Raw genomic sequence first — 18,883 nt, forward strand, 5'->3', positions numbered from 1 at the left:
GTATGTTAATTCACTTGATTTAGCCATTCTACAATGTATATATTTCAAAACATCATCTTGACCATGGGAAATGTATCTAATTTTTGTCAATTTGTTAAAACTTTTTTTTTAATTCCAATTTTTTTTTTTTTGAGGTGGAGTCTCGCTTTGTTGCCCAGGCTGGAGTGCATGACCATGGGAAATGTATCTAATTTTTGTCAATTTGTTAAAACTTTTTTTTTCATTCCAATTTTTTTTTTTTTTTTTTTTGAGATGGAGTCTCACTTTGTCGCCCAGGCTGGAGTGCAGTGGTGCAATCTTGGCTCACTGCAAGCTCCACCTCCCGGGTTCACGCCATTCTCCTGCCTCAGCCTCCCAAGTAGCTGGGACTACAGGCGCCCACCACCGTGCCTGGCTAACGTTTGTATTTTTAGTAGAGATGGGGTTTCACTGCATTAGCCAGGATGGTCTCGCTCTCCTGACCTCATGATCCACCTGCCTTGACCTCCCAAAGTGCTGGGATTACAGGTGTGAGCCACCACGCCCAGCCCCAACTTTTATTTTACGTACAGATCTAAACGTATCACATGCAGGTTTGTTATGTGGTGTGTCGCACCCAGATGGTGAGCAGAGCCCCCAAGTCTTTGTTGATATGGTTGGGGTTAGCTCTCCCAGTCTTTGTTCATATGGTTGGGGTTGGCTCTACCAGTCTTTGTTCATATGGTTGGGGTTAGCTCTACCAGTCTTTATTGATATGGTTGAGGTTAGCTCTACCAGTCTTTGTCGATATGGTTGGGGTTAGCTCTACCAGTCTTTGTTGATATGGTTGGGGTTAGCTCTACCAGTCTTTGTTGATATGGTTGGGGTTAGCTCTACCAGTCTTTGTTGATTAGCTCTCCCAGTCTTTGTTGATATGGTTGGGGTTAGCTCTACCAGTCTTTGTTCATATGGTTGGGGTTAGCTCTACCAGTCTTTGTTGATATGGTTGAGGTTAGCTCTACCAGTCTTTGTTGATATGGTTGGGGTTAGCTCTCCCAGTCTTTGTTGATATGGTTGGGGTTAGCTCTACCAGTCTTTGTTCATATGGTTGGGGTTAGCTCTACCAGTCTTTGTTGATATGGTTGAGGTTAGCTCTACCAGTCTTTGTTGATATGGTTGGGGTTAGCTCTACCTGTCTTTGTTCATATGGTTGGGGTTAGCTCTACCAGCCTTTGTTCATATGGTTGGGGTTAGCTCTACCACGTTGCTATTTGCTGTTTCTTGATCTTGGGTTTTGTTTTTCTGTTCCTCCTTTTCTGCCTTCTCCTGTGTTAATTGAATAAATTTTTGTTTTCCATTTTATTCCTTCTGCTGACTCTTTAGCTGTCTCTTTTTGCATTATTTTTCCTCGGCTGTTGTAAGTGTTACAATATGCATCTTTACTTTTTTTTTTTTTTTTTTTTACAATTGATAGACTTTGTTTTTTAGATTCACGGCAAAATTGAGTGAAAAGTGTGGAGCTCCCACATGTTCCCCCCACACACAGACATTCAGCCTCTGCCACCGTCAACGTCCTGCATCAGATTGTATATTGGTTACAGCCGGGCGCACTGGCTCACGCCTGTAATCACAGCACTTTGAGAGGCCAAGGCAGGCAGATCACTGGAGGTCAGGAGTTCAAGACCAGACTGGCCAACATGGTGAAACCCTGTCTCTACTAAAAATATAAAAATTAGCCAGGCGTCATGGCGCACACCTGTAATGCCAACTACTTGGCAGGGGAATCGCTTGAATCCGGAAGGCGGAGGTTGCAGTGAGCTGAGATTGCATCACTGCACTCCAGCCTGGGCGACAGAGAGAGACTCTGTCTCCAGACAAAAGAAAAAAAAAAGACTGTACATTGGTTACAATCAGTGAACCAACATTGACATATCCTTATCAGCCAAAGTCTATATTCCACCTCAGAATTCACTCTCAGGGCTGTACATTCCCTGGGTTTGGACAAATATATGATGACCTGTGTGTCCCATCCCAGTCTCAGACAGAATCGGTTCTCTCAGGGCTGTACATTCCCTGGGTTTGGACAAATATATGATGACCTGTGTGTCCCATCCCAGTCTCAGACAGAATCGGTTCACTGCCTTCAAAACCCCCTGTGCGCCACCTATTCATCCCTCCCGCCCCAAGCCCCAGATCTTTTTACTGTCTCCATAGTTTGGCCTTTTCCAGAATGTCACATAGTTGGAGTCATACAGAATAAAGCCTCTTCAGGTTTTCTTTCACTTACTAATATGTCTTTAAGATTCTTTTATGCCTTTTCCCGGCATCTTAGCATTGAAGCATATTCCATGGTCTGTATGTATCACAGTTTATTTGCCCACTCACCTATTGAAGAGCATCTTGGTTGCTTCCAGGTTTGGGCAGTTATGAATAAAGCTGCCATAAATATTTGTGCACAAGTTTTTGTGTGCACATAAGATTTTAACACATTTGGATAAATACCAAGAAGCACAATTGCTGGATCTTTTGGTAACAGCATGTTTAGTTTTGTAAGAAGCTGCCAAACGGTCTTCCAAAGTGACTGGGCCATTTTGCATTCCCAGCAGCAATGAACGAGCATTCCTGCCGCTCCACATCCTCCCCAGCTTTTGTGTTTCAGTGTCTTGGATTTTCACCACTCTGATAGGTGTATTGCAGTATCTTCTTCTTGTTTTATTTTGCAATTCCCTAGTGACATATCATGATAAGCATCTTCTCATATGCCTGCTTGCCATCTGCATGTCTTCTTTGAGGTGTCTGTTCATATCTTTTGGCCACTTTTAATCATCCTGAACTTTTCACAATCTATTTAGAATTAATACTGTACCGCCTCACATAAAAAATAAGGACACTGCAGCTATATAAGTCTACTTACTCCCCTCTCCCACCACCTTTGAGTTATTGTGTCATATGTTTTATATCTGCATACATTTTAAGCCCCATAATACAATATTATAATTTCCTTTTTTTTTTTTTTTTTTTTTGAGACGGAGTCTCACTCTCTTGCCCAGGCTGGAGTGCAGTAGTGAGATCTCAGCTCACTGCAACCTCCACCTCCTAGGTTCAAGCGATTCTCCTGCCTCAGCCTCCCGAGTAGCTGGGATTACAGATGTGTGCCGCCACGCCCGGCTAATTTTTTGTATTTTTAGTAGAGACGGGGTTTCATCATCTTGGTCAGACTGGTCTCGAACTCCTGACCTCAAGTGATCCACCCGCCTCAGCCTCCCAAAGTGCTGGGATTATAGGCGTGATTATAGGCCACTGTGCCTGGCCTATAATTTCTTATTTAAACAGCTAGTTGTTTTCTGAAGAAATTATGAAAATAAACTTCCAGATAGTTTTTTAATAGTTGCCTATATATTTGCCATTTCTGATGTTTTTATTTCTTCTCAACTTCCAACTTATATTATATCCCTTCACTCTAAAGCATTTCTTTTTTCTTTTAATGTTTCTTGCAGTGCATATCTGCTAGTAACTAATTCTCTCAGCTTTTGCTGATTGGAACATGCCTTTTTTTTTTTTTTTTTTTTTTGAAATGATGTCTTGCTCTGTCGCCCAGGTTGGAGTGTACAATCAGTTCACTGCAACCTCCGCCTCCTAGGTTCAAGCAATTCTCCTGCCTCAGCCTCCCAAGTACCTGGGATTACAGGCGCCCACCACCATGCCCACCCAGGCACTCCACCCAGGAGGTGGAGGTTGCAGTGAACTGAGATCTCACTACTGCACTCCAGCCTGGGCAAGAGAGTGAGACTCCATCTCAAAAAAAAAAAAATTTTTTTGTATTTTTAGTAGAGACGAGGTTTCACCATGTTGGCCAGGTTGGTCTCGAACTCCTGACCTCAGGTGATCCACCCACCTCGGCCTCCCAAAGTGCTGGGATTACAGGCGTGAACCACCGTGCCCAGGCAAGGAACATGCCTTTATTTTGCCTTCATTGTGAAGGATGAGTTTTCATGGTGTGGAATTCTGCATTCACAGTTTGTTTTCTTCAAGAAGCTTAAAGATGTTGACTCACTTTCTTTCTGGCCTCCATTGTTTCTGATGAGAAGTCAGCTTAATTTGATCATTATTCCTCTGTATGAAGTGTGTCTTTCTTCTCTGGCTGCTTTCTTTGGGGTTTGTTTGTTTGTTTGTTTGTTTTGTTTTGTTTTTGAGATGAAGTTTTTGCTCTGTTGCCCAGGCTAGAGTGCAGTGGTGCGATCTCGGCTCACTGCAACCTCCGCCTCCTGATTCTCCTGCCTCAGCCTCCAAGTAGCTGGGATTGCAGGTGCCCGCCACCACGCCCAACTAATTTTTAGTAGAGACAGGATTTCACCATGTTGGCCAGGCTGGTCTCGAACTCTTGACCTCAGGTGATCCACCCACCTCGGGCTCCCAAAGTGCTAGGATTACAGGCGTGAGCCACTGTGCCCAGGCCTCTGGCTGTTTTCAAGCTGTTGATTTCTTTCCTTTATCTTTAGGTTTCAGCAGTTGGACTATGATGTGCTTCAGTCTCATTTTCTTCTTATTTATCCTTCTTCATGTTCATTGAGCTTCCATGGACTATGAATTTACCTTTTCAGCAAATTTGCAAAATTGTCAGCCATTACGTGTTATATGTGCCATTCTTTCTCACTAATGACCTGTATGTTAGAAAGTTTGCTGTTGTCTTTCAAGTGACTGCAGCTTTGCGGTTTTTTATAATCTTTTTTTTCTTTGCCCTTCAAATTGGGTAATTTCTGTTGACCTGTCCTTGATTTCCCTGACTCTTCCACTGACTCCAGACTTCTGTAAGTTGATCCATGAAGTTTTTTTTTGTTTAGGATATTATATTTTAAAATTCTAAAATTTGCACTTGACTCTTGTTCATAGATTTGTCTCTCGAGACTCCCCTCTGTTTACGATTTACTGACGCCGCTTTTGTTTCGGTGTTTGCACGTACCTGCAATTGCTGCATTAAAGTCTCGTTTGCTCATTTTGGCATCTGAGCCGGCAAGCGTCCAGGGTGTCTGAGGGATGATTTTCTCTTGGCCATGGGTCACATTTTCCTATTTCTTTGCATGTCTATTTTTTATTGTAGACTAAGATTATGAATAACACCTAGGAGAGACATTGGATTTTGTTATCATCCTCTGAAGAGTGTTAATTTTGCTCCAGCAGTCAGTTCCGTTACTCACTGATCATCTGAACTTCGTGCAGCCTGGTTTTATGCTTTGTTGGGGTAGATCTCTAGACTGACCCTTCTGTGGTTTTAGTAGGAAGCCTGAGGTATTTATCAAGCCTCTCTAACTCGACTACATTTAAACTCCAAACTTTGTCTCCTCCACAGCAGGAGCTGAAACCTCTGCCACACTAGGCCCACAAACATGCGTCATTCAGGGATCCACCAAGGAACAGGGTAGTTTATACAGAATTTGGGTCCCACTGCCATGGCTTCCTCCTTTGGGAACTCTCCTTTCCATTTCCATCCTCTCTGACAACCTAAAACTGTGTCATCTGACGCTTCAACCTGGAACTTTCTGCTTAAGTTTTAGCCATCTACATTATAAGGGCACTTTATAGCAAGAAATAGAATATTATTCCATTCTAGGCCAAGTACAGTGGCTCACACCTGACATCTCAGCACTTTGGGAGGCCGAGGTGGGTGGATCAACTGAGGTCAGGAGTTTGAAACCAGCCTGGCCAACATGGTGAAATCCTGTCTCTTCTAAAAAAAATTTTGAAAAAATTAGCCGGGTGTGGTGGTGCATACCTGTAATCCCAGCTACTCAGGAGCTGAGGCAGGAGAATCCCTTGAACCTGGGAGCCAGAGGTTGCAGTGAGCCGAGATGGCGCCACTGCCCTCCAGCCTGGGTGACAGAGTGAGAGTCTGTCTCAAAAAAAAAAAAAAAAAAAAAAGAAATATTCCTTCGTTCTTTTATAGGAGCATAGTACTTCATTTTGTAGATGTACTATTGTGTATCCTACTGATAGATACTTGTGTTGCTTCCAGTCTTGTTTTTACAGCGATCAGATGGTTCTTCTTAATTTCTCTTGCTACAAATGTTGCTGCTGTGTACAACCTGTTAAAGTCCACAGATGGAATAAAAGCTTTGGTTTGCAAAAATGACTCAATCTTTACAAACATTCTGTCATTTGTACCATAATCAATTAGTTTATTGGATCACCGAATTGCCTGACAGAATCCTTCCTGGAACTAGTCTATGGGGTCATTTGGCATAGAGTCAAAGCCTCAGACACGATGAGCCAGAGTTGATTTCCTTTGGCTTCACATAATTAAACTTTCCCAGAGGATTATCAGGTTACAGTGACACACACACAGGCTGTCAGATAATGGACAAAGTCCCAGCAGCGTGTACAACCAGCTGGTGGCTCCCAAATTCAAATTCCCCCAGCGGCATCCGTTCGGTTATTCGTACCCACACCCTCCCTTAGAAGTTTACCCCTCCGCCAGGCGCAGTGACTCACGCCTGTAATCCCAGCACTTTGGGAGGCCAAGGCGGGCGGATCACCTGAGGTTGGGAGTTCGAGACCAGCCTGACCAACATGGAGAAACCCCGTCTCTACTAAAAATACAAAAATTAGCCGGGCATGGTCACGCATGCCTGTAATCCCAGCTACTCGGGAGGCTGAGGCAGGAGAATCGCTTGAACCTGGGAGGCGGAGGTTGCGGTGAGCCGAGATCATGCCATTGCACTCCAGCCTGGGCAACAAGAGCAAAACTCCATCTCAATAAATAAATAAATAAGTTCACCCCACTACGGGCAAGAAGCCACACAGAAAGAAAAATAAAATAGGTATCTCTGGGGTTTTCTGAAGGGAAAGTAAGTGCAGCTCTGTCCCGTCTTTGCAGCTCTAAATAGGAACATGGTGGAGTAGGGCAGGTCGGGCTTGACGATGTCATGACTTGGCCTCTCTCAGTGTCACGCAGCCCCTGCAGGTTATAAGGAGGATTGAGCTGGCCAGGCACAGTGGCTCATACCTGTAATCCCAGCACTTTGGGAGGCCGAGGTGGGCGGATCACCTGAGGTCGGGAGTTCGAGACCAGCCTGGCCAACGTGGAGAAACCCCATGTCTACTAAAAATACAAAATTAGCCCGGCGTGGTGGTGCATGTCTGTTAACCCAGCTGCTCGGGAGGCTGAGGCAGGAGAATTGCTTGAACCCGGGAGGCGGAGGTTGCAGTGAGCTGAGATTTCGCCATTGCATTCCAGCCTGGGTAACAAGAGCGAAACTCCGTCTCAAAAAAAAAAAGAAGGATAGAGCTAACATGCATGAACCACCTAGAACAGCACCCAGAGCATAGTAACAGCTCCTTGCAGATGTTACAGTACCTTGATCTATACAACAGTAAAGGGAAATGCATGCTAGCTGCCCCAGATGCTGCCAGCTTCACAGGCATTTTTCTGCCTGCAAACTAATCCTAAGGAAGAGAGGAGGGCAGGGGGAGAAATTGCACCCAGTCAAATGTAAACGATACAAAATGTGAAATTCCCCTCTCTGAAAATGAAAGGGAAAAAACTCGATTCAATGCCTGCCCCTGAGGTGAACCTGAAATGACAAGGCAGACACTCTCTAGAACTTCACGTTTGGCCACCAGGGTCTTCGGTTGATTTTCCTTTCTTCGTCATATCTGAGTGGCTGAAACGCCAGTGATCTGGGATAGTCCTTTGGCTGCTGATAGACTTATGCAATCCCTTGGCAGGCAGGACAGGCCAGAGGAAGGGCTCCTGTGCCTTTAAGGTCACTGTTAATCATGTAACTTTATTGTGTTCCTGGGCTATAAAGGAAATGTCGTCCTTGATCTGAATGTCTGTTTTATGATGTCCATAAACAGTGAATTGCCAGTGACTGTACCCTGAGTGAGAACATCCTCAGCCAGTTGAATAGTTCAAGGGCAGTTGCAGGGGTCAGGAGAGAGCAAAAGTGGGACAGAAGATGAGTTTGCTTCCCAGGAAGAGAGACAGTGCCACCCCACCCCTCGCTGACAGGGAAGCCTTCCAGCCCTTCCTCCAAAGAGCCTTGGCTCTCAGGGGTTGGAGGTTGGACAAGAGCAGAAATAAAGGCACCCTGCTCCCACCCCCCACAATCTTCCGGACGTCTAGAGTGCTTATCTCTTTGGGGGCAAGTAATGTGAATTATTTTCCCTAATGCAAAAATAAAAAATAAGAGACCCCTTTTACCCTTTTCTGAAAGGATAGCAGAGGTATTTTTCTTTTCTTTTTTTTTTTTGAGATGGAATCTTGCTCTGTCACCAGGCTGGAGTGCAGTGGCACAATCTCAGCTCACTGCAACCTCCGACTCCCTGGTTCAAGTGATTCTCCTGCCTCAGCCTCCCGAGTAGCTGGGATTACAGGCACGTACCACCATGCCCAGCTAATTTTTTTGTATTTTTAGTAGAGACGGAGTTTCACCATGTTGGCCAGGATGGTCTTGAACTTCTGACCTCATGATCCGCCCACCTCAGCCTCCAGAAGTGCTGAGATTACAGGCGTGAGCCACCATGCCCGTCCAGCAGAGGTATTTTTTCTAATACTTGAGAAGTGTCTGCTAAGTATGTATTCACCGGAGGGTGCTCAGCACCTCGCCCTGTTGCTCTGGGTTGGGACTAACAAGGTGAAACATGGCTCATTGCATCATATTAATAGCATGCAAATCTAAGCCCAGTGATGCCGTGCAATGGCTACGATCAAGGGCAATAGAATGGATCGTGCATGAGCTCCCAGGCCACACACACACGCCCTTGTGATGTATTATTCCCTCTACTCTTGCAGGTCGGTGCTTGGGATGCTAGTGCCCAAGCTGATGTTCCTAGGTCACCTCCCTCAATGCATGGGTCTAGGGGCCAGCATGTTCTATTGCTAGGGCCATGTGTGCATTCGTTTGCCTAGGGGAGAAAAGTACACATTCCCATCAGCTCAGGTGCGTGGAGGACGGAAGAACTGCTGTTGCTGCTAGTATTCTCTTCAGCACAAGATAAAAAGGAGATAGGCAAATCAGCTGGCTGGCCAATCAAATTAACTTATTGTTACACTAATTTTTAGAATCAGAATTATGGGTCAGGCTGTGCTAGCAATCAGTGAAATCAAATTTCATGTCATTCTGCACTGGGTAGACTCAGGATTTGCCTGAAACAAGTAAACAATTCCTGGAAGAAGTGGGCGAGGCAGAGGCTTGAACTATCCACTCAGACCAAGGAGGAGTCAGGCAATGGCTTCTGGGCATCGTGTGGGGTGGGGGCAGCCCCTGCCCTGGACACCCGTGAACACGGAGGCAGCCGTGTGAACACCATGAGGCAGGGTGTCCATCCTGCCACCCACACAGCTGCGTCCTGCCCAGGAATGAGGCTGGCAGCCCATAGGCCCCTCCTTGGTCCCTCTAGAGGTTTGCTTCATTCCAGTACCCTTGGTTCTGTCAAGTGGGCAGGGCCTGGGCCCCTCTGCTGCAAACCCATGGCCCAAAGCGGACCTGATCCGGCAGCATCTAAAAACAGGACCCGGAGAATCTGCTGGACTCCAGGATTGCCCTGGAACAAACCTAAAGTCTCCTATGACATGCAAACAATTCTGCCAGCCCCGGCCAGCATTCCCTGCATGTGCTTATCAAGTGAGGAGGCCAGCAGGACTTAGCACCCAGGTGAGCACACTTCATTGAGTCCAGGTGTGTGCAGATGAGAAGCAGCCAGGAGTTGAGGCTGAAGAGGAGCCTACCTAAACCTGTCATTACAACTGATTGATCCTTGGTGTAGTCAAATCTTCTGCCTTTATGAAAGTCATGGTATCTAGAGGTAAATCCCCATCAGCTTGGAGCAGCACCATGAAATCCACTCTAGCATGCAGACTCGGGGGCACTTTTAGATATTCTATTGGTTGTTCTTGGGGGACAGCTTCCTTTGGAGAACATGTGAGTTGTCTGTGAATATCAGCTTGCTCTCCCTAGGTTTCCATCACATGGATCAGCGAGAGTTAATGCTGACTCCCCCTCCCTCGGGGGCTTATTTGCAATCTCCCGATTTGCTCAAAAACTTCCAGGTCCAGAGGGACCCTAAAGACCCTGTCATGTCCCCCTGTGAATTACCAGCATCCCAGGCCATTGCTGGGTTTTCTTAAAACTATTAAGACACTATCAACGTGAAATGACTTGAATAGGCTTTAATTTTTAAAATTCATTATACGTCCTGCAGCATTTAGGAAAAAGAGGGAGGTGTCACACATAATATCAAATTTGGCTGACACAAGGTGATTTTGCCACGAAGGTTGGGAAGGATGAACATTTGCAATTGAAAACTGTTTGTTGCCCCCAGAATCCAGCGGTTTCAGGCTCTCTGAGGATTCCAGAGGTGCTAGAGGGGGTAAGGCCACATTCAGGTGGTGCAGGTGGGATTCACCCCTTCACAGCCTGGAGGTGGTGCCCGGAGCGCACCCTGTCACCCCAAGGATGATGACACCCCAGGGAAGGTGGTGGAAGCAGGAAGGGGAGGTCAGAGGAAAACTGGGGCCCTCAGTGGGCATCCGTGATGCGGAAACACTAATAATGCCAACAGCAATAGCAGAGGCAGGCAGGGCTTACGTGGCCAGGGCTGGGCTGGTGCTGTCCTGAGCACTTGACATGCATGAAATCACAGTTGTTTTAAGTTCTGAACTCCCCTGGGAGGAAACTGTGGCCACAGCAGGAATTCCAATGATTCTAGGGTCAGGAGAGGAGGCACCCACTTCCTGATCAGGGCTCTGTTTGTGGATGCGTGGGTGTGGTTGGCCTTTGTGCACACTGGTGGTTTTGCTTCTTTCCCCCAGCAAAAGAATGCAGATTTTGCATTATCTAAAGAGGCGGTTCCGTGAGCCCACTGTGCTGAGTCACATATATTCCATCGGTGTAAGTACCACCACCTGGGCAGTGCCCCTGGAGTGTTCTCACTGGGAGCGCAGCTTTGTGTCTGTACCCTTCCTGAGAATAGCTGACATGCTGGCCTGGGTGGCGCATTGGCCGAGGTGTGGCTATGACAGACCAGGATACCAGCATCTGCCCCAGCACTGAACTGAGCACACCACAGAAGGTGTGGACAGAGTGGCATGAAACATGACAGCTGCTTGTGCTCGAAATTAGATGTAGCCACACAAATCCTGTCGTGCTCAAAGGGTTCCATCTCCAAAGTCCAAAGGAAAACTCTTCCTTAACTGTTATTCCATTCTGTCTATACATTTCTTATTTTGAAGCAAGGATAGGTTCACACGCTGCTGTAATGATGCATGCAGAGAAAGCCCACTCATGGCCCGGTTTCTCCCAGTGGTGACATCTTGCAAAACTCTAGCACAATGTCACAGCCTGGCATTGACCGTGACACGGTCCAGATCCGGAACATGGCGTCCCCCACAAGGATCCCACCTGCCGCTCTTTAATAGCCACGCTGCTTCCCTTCCATTCCCCACTGGATCCCTGTCCCCTGGCAACCAAGAGGTCTCTCTCTTTTTTGTTTTTGTTTTTGTTTTTTTTTTGAGACAGAGTTTCGCTCTTGTTGCCCAGGCTGGAGTGCAATGGCACAATCTCGGCTCACCCCACAACCTCCGCCTCCAGGGTTCAAGCGATTCTCCTGCCTCAGTCTCCTGAGTAGGTGTGATTACAGGCATGCACCATCATGCCTGGCTAATTTTGTATTTTCAGTACAGACGGGGTTTCTCCATGTTGGTCAGGCTGGTCTCGAACTCCTGACCTCTGGTGATCCACCCACCTCAGCCTCCCATAGTGCTGGGATTACAGGCATGATCCACCATGCCCGGCCTCTGGTCTCTATTTGTATGATGTTGTCAATTCTGTAACGTTCTACACATGTAATCATGCAGTAGGTGACTTTGGGATTGGCGCCTTCCACCCAGCACAACCCCCTGGCATCCATCCGGGTTGTCGCCTATATCCGTGGTTCATTCCCTTCTTTCTGAGTCATACTCCGCGGTATGGATGGACCACGGTTGGTTCAACCATTCTCCCTTGAAAGGCATCTGCATCGTTTGCATTTGGGACTACTACAAATACATCCGCCAGGAACATGTGGACAGGCCTTTGTGTGAACATCAGTTCTCCGCGTACATCATCTCTCTGCCCTGGTGCTTGCATCTTTAGTTGGTTTTTTCTGTCTTTTGAAGAACCTACCAGACTGTTTTCAGAATGACTGTACCATTTTTCATTCCCACCAGCCACGAGTGAGTGAGCCGTGTTTCCACGGGGGTTGGCATTATTTTGTATCCCAGCCATTTTGATAGGTGTGCAGTGGTGTCTCACTGTGGTTGTAACTGGCATTTCCTAATGGCCGAGTGGCTCTCAGCATCTCTTCATGGGCTTCTTTCCATCTGTGACTTTCTCCAGTACCCATCTGCTCATCTCTTGCCCGCTTTCAAGTTGGCTGGTTTTGTTTTCTACCATTGAGTTTTGACCATTCTTTATACATGCTATCTGCAAGTCTTTGTCAGATACGTGTCTTGCAAATATTTTCTGCCACACCGTAGCTTGTCTTGTCATCCTCTTACCAGGATCTTTCTCTGAGCGAAAATTTTCATTTTGATGAAGTCCAGTCTATCCATTTTTCTTTTTCTGGTTTGTGTTTTTGCTGTCAAGTCTAAGAACTCCCCACCTTACCGAAGACCCTGAAGATTTCTCCTATCTTCTCTCTGTGTTTTATAGTTTCATGTTTTACATCTGTGGTCCACTTTGCATTGATTTTTATATAAACTGAATTCTAGGTCAAGGCTCTTTTTCTTGTTGGCCTGCGGATATCTAATTTTTCCAACACTACTGAAACACTATTTCCAACACTATTACTGAATGCCACCACGCCTGGCCATATATATATATATATATATATATATATATATTTTTTTTTTTTTTTTTGTAGAGATGGAGATCTCTCTTTGTTCCCCGGCTGGTCTCAAACTCCTGGGCTCAAGCAATCCTCCAACCTCGACCTCCCAAAGTGCTGGGATTACAGGCATGCGCCACTGTGTGTGGCTGGTATTTTATTTATAATTTCAGTGTCTACATGGTCATTGCTAAGCTTTCTTTTCTCTGTTGAATTGCTTTTACATCTGGGTCAAAAATCAGTTGGGCGTATTTGTATGGACATGGTCATAGGCCCTCTGTTTCTTTCCATTGCTCTACCTGTCTGTCTTTCTGCCAGTACCTCACAGTCTTGATTACCGAAATTATGTCATAAGTCTCAAAAATAAGATAGGCTGATTCCTCTCATTTTGTCTGTTGTTTTTCAAAATTGTTTTTATTCTTGTGAATCCTTTCCCTATCTAAATGTTAGAATAATCTCTATTTCTACAAAAAAAAAAAAAAAAAAAAAAAGTCTTGCTAGGCTTTCAATGGGAATTGTGTAAAACTTGTTTACCTATGTGGGGAGAATTTACTATGTTGAGTCTTCCAACCCATTAACATGGTCAGTCTTGCCATTTGTTTATATCTTCTTTGATTTCTTTCATGAATGTTTTGTAGTTTTCAACATACAACTTCTGCATATGTTTTGTCAGTTTGACACCTAGGGGCATTTTTGAGTGACTGTAAATGGTACTGGTGTTTGTTTGTTTGTTTTTGAGACAGGGTCTTTGTCCCTGAGGCTGGAGTGCAGTGGCATGATCGTGGCTCACTACAGCCTCAACCTCCCAAGCTCAAGCAATCCTCCCACCTCAGCCTCCTGAGTAGCTGGAACCACAGGCACATGCCACCACGCCTGGCTATTTTTTTTTTTTTTTTTTTTTTTTGTAGAGATGGAGATCTCTCTTTGTTCCCCAGGCTGGTCTCAAACTCCTGGGCTCAAGCAACCCTCCAACCTCGACCTCCCAAAGTGCTGGGATTACAGGCATGTGCCACTATGTGTGGCTGGTATTTTATTTATAATTTCAGTGTCTACATGATCATTGCTAGTATATACAATTGTAGTAAATACAATTGAATTTTGTATGCTTTCCACCCTGCAAACTTGCTAAACTCGCTTCTTAGTTCTAGGAGGGTTGTGTTTTTTTGTTGTTGTTGTTTGTAGATTCATTGGGGTTTTCTATGTAGACAACATGTCATTGGCAAACAAGGACAGTTTTCTTTCTTCCTTTCTAATCTGTTTGCCTTTTATTTCCTTCTCTTGCCTATTGCACTGGCTAGGACTCCCAGCACTATGTTAATTAGCAGCAGTGAGAGCAGACAGCTTTGCCTTGTGACAGTCTTAGACACCAAGCACTGAGTTTTTCACCATTAAGTACAGTTGGCTCTTCTGTATCTGTGTGTTCCATATCCATATATCCAACCAACCGCTGATCAGAAATGTTTTAAAAACAAGAAAAACAATACAAATTAGTAAACAGTACAGTATAGCAACTCTTTACATAACATTTACATTGTATTAGGTATTCTAAGTAATCTAGAGATGATGTAGCGTGTACGGGAGGATGTGCATAGGTTATATGCAAATACTATACCATCTTATATAAGGAATTTGAGCATCCTTGGATTTTGGCATCCTTGTGGGGAGTCCTGGAACCAATCCCTCAGAGACACCAAGGAACAACTGTATAATATTGGCTGTAAGGTTATGGTTGATGCTTTTAATCAACTTGAAGAAGTTCTCCTCCATTCCTAATTTTATGAGAGTTTTCTCATGAACATGTGTTGAATTTTGTCAGATGTTTTTTATGAATTAGTTAATATGATCATGTAATTTTTCTTCTTTAGCCTGTTGATTGGAGACTACATTGATTGGTTCCCAAATATTGAGCCAACCTTATATCCCCAGAATAAACCCCACTAAATCTTGATATGCAATTATTTTTATCTATTACTGAATTCTACTTGCTATTTCATTAGTGATTTTTGTATCTATATTCATGAGGGATGTTGGCATGTAGTTTTCTTTTTGTTGTTTTTCCTTGTCTGCATTTGGTATCAGGGTAATACCAACTTCATAAAATGAATGGGGCCCAGGTGCAGTGGCTCACACCTGTAATCCCAGCACTTTGGGAGGCCAAGGCAGGCAGATCACTTGAGGCCAGGAGTTCAAGACCAGCCTGGCTAACATGCTAAAACCCCGGCTCTACTAAAAATACAAAAAATTAGCCTGGCTTAGTGGCGGGCACCTATAATCCCAGCTACTCAGGAGGCTGAGGCAGAGAATCACTTGAGCCCAGGAGGCGGAGGCTGCAGAGAGCTGGGATCATACCACTGCACTCCAGCTTGGGGGACAGAGTGAGACTCAGTCTCAAAAAAAAAAAAAAAAAAGAATGGTAGTGTTCCCTCCTCTTCTGTTTTCTTGAAGATATTGTTAGAATCATGTTGACTTTTTAAACATTTGGTAGAATTCTCTATAAATGTTTAGAACCATCTTGGCCTGGACATTTCGTTTTGGGGAGTTTTTAAATTACAAATTGACTTTTGCTATAGGTTGTTTAAATTACCTGTTTGATATTGAATGAGTTGTAGTACCTCATGCTTCTCTAGGAGTTGGTCCATTTTATTGAAGATGTCAGAGTTATGTGTGTAGAGGCATTTGTAGTGTTCCCGTATTATCCTTTTGATGTCTGCAGGGTCTGTAGTGATGTTCCCTCTTTCATTCCTGATATTGACAGTCTGTGTCTTCCCTCTAATTGTTTCTTTGTCAGTCTTGCTAGAAGTTTGACAATTTCTTATTTTCAAATACCTAGCTCTGTTTTGTTGATTTTCTGCATTGTTTTTCTGTTTTCTGTTACCGGGATTTCTATTCCCCTATCTTTGTGATTTCCCTCCTTCCTTCCTTTGCTATCATTGTGGGTTTACTTTGCTCTTCTTTTCCTGGGTGCTCATGGTGGGATCTTGGCTTATTGAGTTGAGATTTTTCCTCTCTTCAAATGAAAGCCCATAGTGCTATAAATTTCCCTCTCAGCATTGCTTTAGTCATGTCCCACAGCTAAGTTTTGTGTTGTATTTTCATTTTTATTGAGTTCAATGTCTTTTTAATTTTCCCTTGAGACTTCCTCTTTGACCCTTAAGTTATTTAGAAGTGTGTTGTTAAGTTTCCACGTGTTTGGAGATTTGTCTGCTATCTTTCTGTTATTGATTTCTACTTTGATCCTCGTGTGGTCAGAGGACATGCTCTGTATAGCCTCAGTTCCTTTAGATTGGGTGAGATTTCCTGTATAGCCCAGGATATGGTCAATCTTGGTACATGCTCTGTAGGTGCCTGAAATGAACATAGCACTCTGCTGCTGTTGGGTGAAGTGGTCTGTAAATATTCATCATTTGATGGACTTCTAAATTTATCTCAAGACTCTGAGATCATTTACTCTCAAAGGTTATGTGATACGCTACCTTTTCCAGACAATTCCTAAGTGATCTAAACCCCTGCTGAGTTCACCAAGTGGCCTGTAAAACCCTATGATGATTCTTGTTGATGGGAGCCATCTTCCCCCACTAGTAGGTGTGGGCCTTTCTTAAGGTGAGGGCCTTGAGCTCGCACCAGTTCAACCTATGGCTGTATGAAAATTTTCTGGCTGACATTTTTACGCTTGTACCTTCAAGAAATATAACAAAACATCATTTTTCTTCTTCTTATCAAGTCATAGAATGCTAAAGGCAGCGGGAATCTAGGGTGATCTGGTCTACCCTCTCGTTTGACAGGTGAAGCAATGAGGTGTTGCGAAGTTAAACTGATTAGTTTTTTTTAATTTTTTAAATGAAATTAATATACGTTAATTATAGAAAATGCATAAGAAAAAGGGGAAATGCATAAGATAGAGGGAAGCAAACATTTTTAAATAAAATTTATATAAAACTTATAACCAAAGATGACTACTATTTTTATTTTGGAGTATACTCTCCCAATATGTTTTCAAAAGCAGGATCACTCTCTATGACTGCTTTAAAATCTTTTTTTTGTACTTTAACAACAGACATGAACATTTTTCAAAATATTATTTCTAATAGCAAAATATCATTCCAGATATATGTCTGATGATACAGTTTTCTCATCATTTATTTAATGAGTCTCCATTGGGTGGGCGTGCAGGTTGTGACAGTTTTCTCTGTGTTAAATAACACTGTGATGAATATCTTTTGTGTACATGCATGATGATTTCCTAGAAATGGGACCCTGGGTCAGTGCTTGTGAACATTTTTAGCTTCTGAGCCCCATTGCCAAGTTGGATTCTTGAAATTTTTTGTTTGTTTGGGCAGCTTTGGTTTTGTTTTTTTGTTTTCTTTTGAGATGGAGTTTCGCTCTTGTTCCCCAGGCTGGAGTGCAATGGCACGATCTCAGCTCACCGCAACCTCTGCCTCCCAGGTTCAAGTGATTCTCCTGCCTCAGCCTCCCGAGTACCTGGGATTACAGGCATGCACCACCATGCCTGGCTAATTTTGTATTTTTTAGTAGAGACGGGGTTTCTCCATGTTGGTCAGGCTGGTCTCGAACTCCCGACCTCAGGTGATCTGCCTGCCTCGGCCTCCCAAAGTGCTGGGATTACAGGCGTGAGCCACTGCGCCCAGCGCAGCTTTGGTTTTATTTGTTTTGTTTATAGTGGAGGGTTAGACATGAAATCAACATAGAAGATGACGTAAACTTATGACTAAGCCTGGTGTGGGCTCTCGGTGTTCTGGGGCATGAGCTAGAGGATGGCTGGAGCCAGGTAGAGACCGCTCCCTTCCTTAGAATGTCACCTTGCTGACAAGGACAGCGCTGTGAGCATCCACACCTTCCTGTGAGGTATCTGGCATTGAGCCTGGTCAGGAAACAGGAAGACAAGCAGGTTCCATTGAGCCTGGGACCTGGACCTTGTAAAGCCAGCCACCCAGCCCAGTTTTACAGGCCAGGCAACAAAGGGAGCAACCGGCTGGACCCAGGCCTGCCTCCCCCGTGCAGACCCGCCGTGAGAACACCGTGTTCTGAATTGAGACGTGCCTTGCACTCACTTTGTCCCAGTAATTGCCCCCATAAAATAGACCTGGACACTAAGAGGAAACTTCCCATATTTGGAAACCCAGTCCTGCCTGCTTTTTATAGCTGGTGTCGAGGACAAGAGAACCACAAGCCGTGGCCAGTCTGCTGAGAGACCACTGAGGGACAGACGGGTTGTGGGCCTGGAGCAGCCCCGGAGGGAAGGAGCATTTGAAAGTGGACAGGTAGAGCCCAGGCCCAGAGAGCCCCAGGGCTGCTACCAGGAAGGCCAGCGCATCCCTCCAGGTAACGGGCAGCTCCTCGGCCACAGCCTCCACCCCCCAACACGTGGGATTCGGGCTGCAATGGCCTACACATCTTTTCCTCTTGTCCGTGTTCCATCTGTCTTTCTTCTTTGGTTTGTAGAGAGAGAAGAATTAATCCAGAGCGTGCTGGCGCAGGTTGCAGAGCAGTTCTCAAGGTACAGAGTCTTCTAAACTTACAACCAGCCAGAGATGGGCACATCTTTCTCTAAGAGCGAGGGCAGGCCCCAGGCTCTGAGGCTGGCCTTGGCCGGCAAGCGTGGCTGTCTCACCTGCCTGGAGGAGCTGCCCGCACGGTGGAAGCCTTCTGTGGCTTCTGTAACTAAGCCAGCTTGGATGGGGCCCAGGAAACGCTCACCTTAGACCAAAGACCATGTTGAGTGGGTGCATTAGAATGTGAGCTCGTGAGGTCGAGAATGTTCTCCACCGGCTCTTCTGGGATGGGAGAACAAGCTATAAGAATTGGCTCCACTGGAAAATAAGCTTCCTCGCTGAGCTTCTGTGTAGTTAGGAGACTTCCTTTTCATCGGAGTCATCCCAACAATCCTGACCTGGATACCGTATTTTCCATTTCTCAAACTGACTTCTCTGTGGCGTCTTACTGCCCAGGTTAATTAAAATAGTGAAAAGCACAGACGGGTGGGATTTTTTAAAAACCTTTGAATTGGCCGGGTGCGGTGGCTCACGCCTGTAATCCCAGCACT

General features: G+C 45.0%; 1 protein-coding gene across 24 annotated transcripts in view, besides 1 other annotated feature; it reads left to right on the forward strand.

Annotated features, from left to right (window-relative positions):
• PDE9A (phosphodiesterase 9A) overlaps window positions 1-18,883 on the forward strand; it is a 121,889-nt gene that overhangs the window by 60,167 nt on the left and 42,839 nt on the right. For 7 of the 24 annotated variants that reach the window (NM_002606.3, NM_001001583.2, NM_001001582.2 and 4 more), the window contains 2 exons: window positions 17,983-18,162; window positions 18,283-18,337. The exons of 9 other annotated variants lie outside the window; for them this stretch is intronic. In NM_002606.3, coding sequence (NP_002597.1) covers window positions 17,983-18,162; window positions 18,283-18,337 — 235 coding nt within the window. Of the gene's footprint in view, window positions 1-10,768; window positions 10,848-17,982; window positions 18,163-18,282; window positions 18,338-18,883 lie in introns of all 24 variants that reach the window. 8 more of the 24 variants (NM_001315533.2, NM_001001567.2, NM_001001574.2 and 5 more) reach the window with 3 other exon arrangements.
• Window positions 10,164-11,363: an enhancer, noted in NCBI's record as "P300/CBP strongly-dependent group 1 enhancer chr21:44144061-44145260 (GRCh37/hg19 assembly coordinates)". NCBI's record gives its function as "activates an origin of replication core promoter dependent on BRD2, BRD4, P300/CBP, MED14 and CDK7 cofactors, with strong dependence on P300/CBP, by STARR-seq in HCT116 cells {active_cell/tissue: HCT116}" and the evidence as "EXISTENCE:reporter gene assay evidence [ECO:0000049][PMID:35650434]".

Source organism: Homo sapiens, chromosome 21, assembly GCF_000001405.40.
Source record: "Homo sapiens chromosome 21, GRCh38.p14 Primary Assembly".
NCBI lineage: Eukaryota > Metazoa > Chordata > Mammalia > Primates > Hominidae > Homo > Homo sapiens.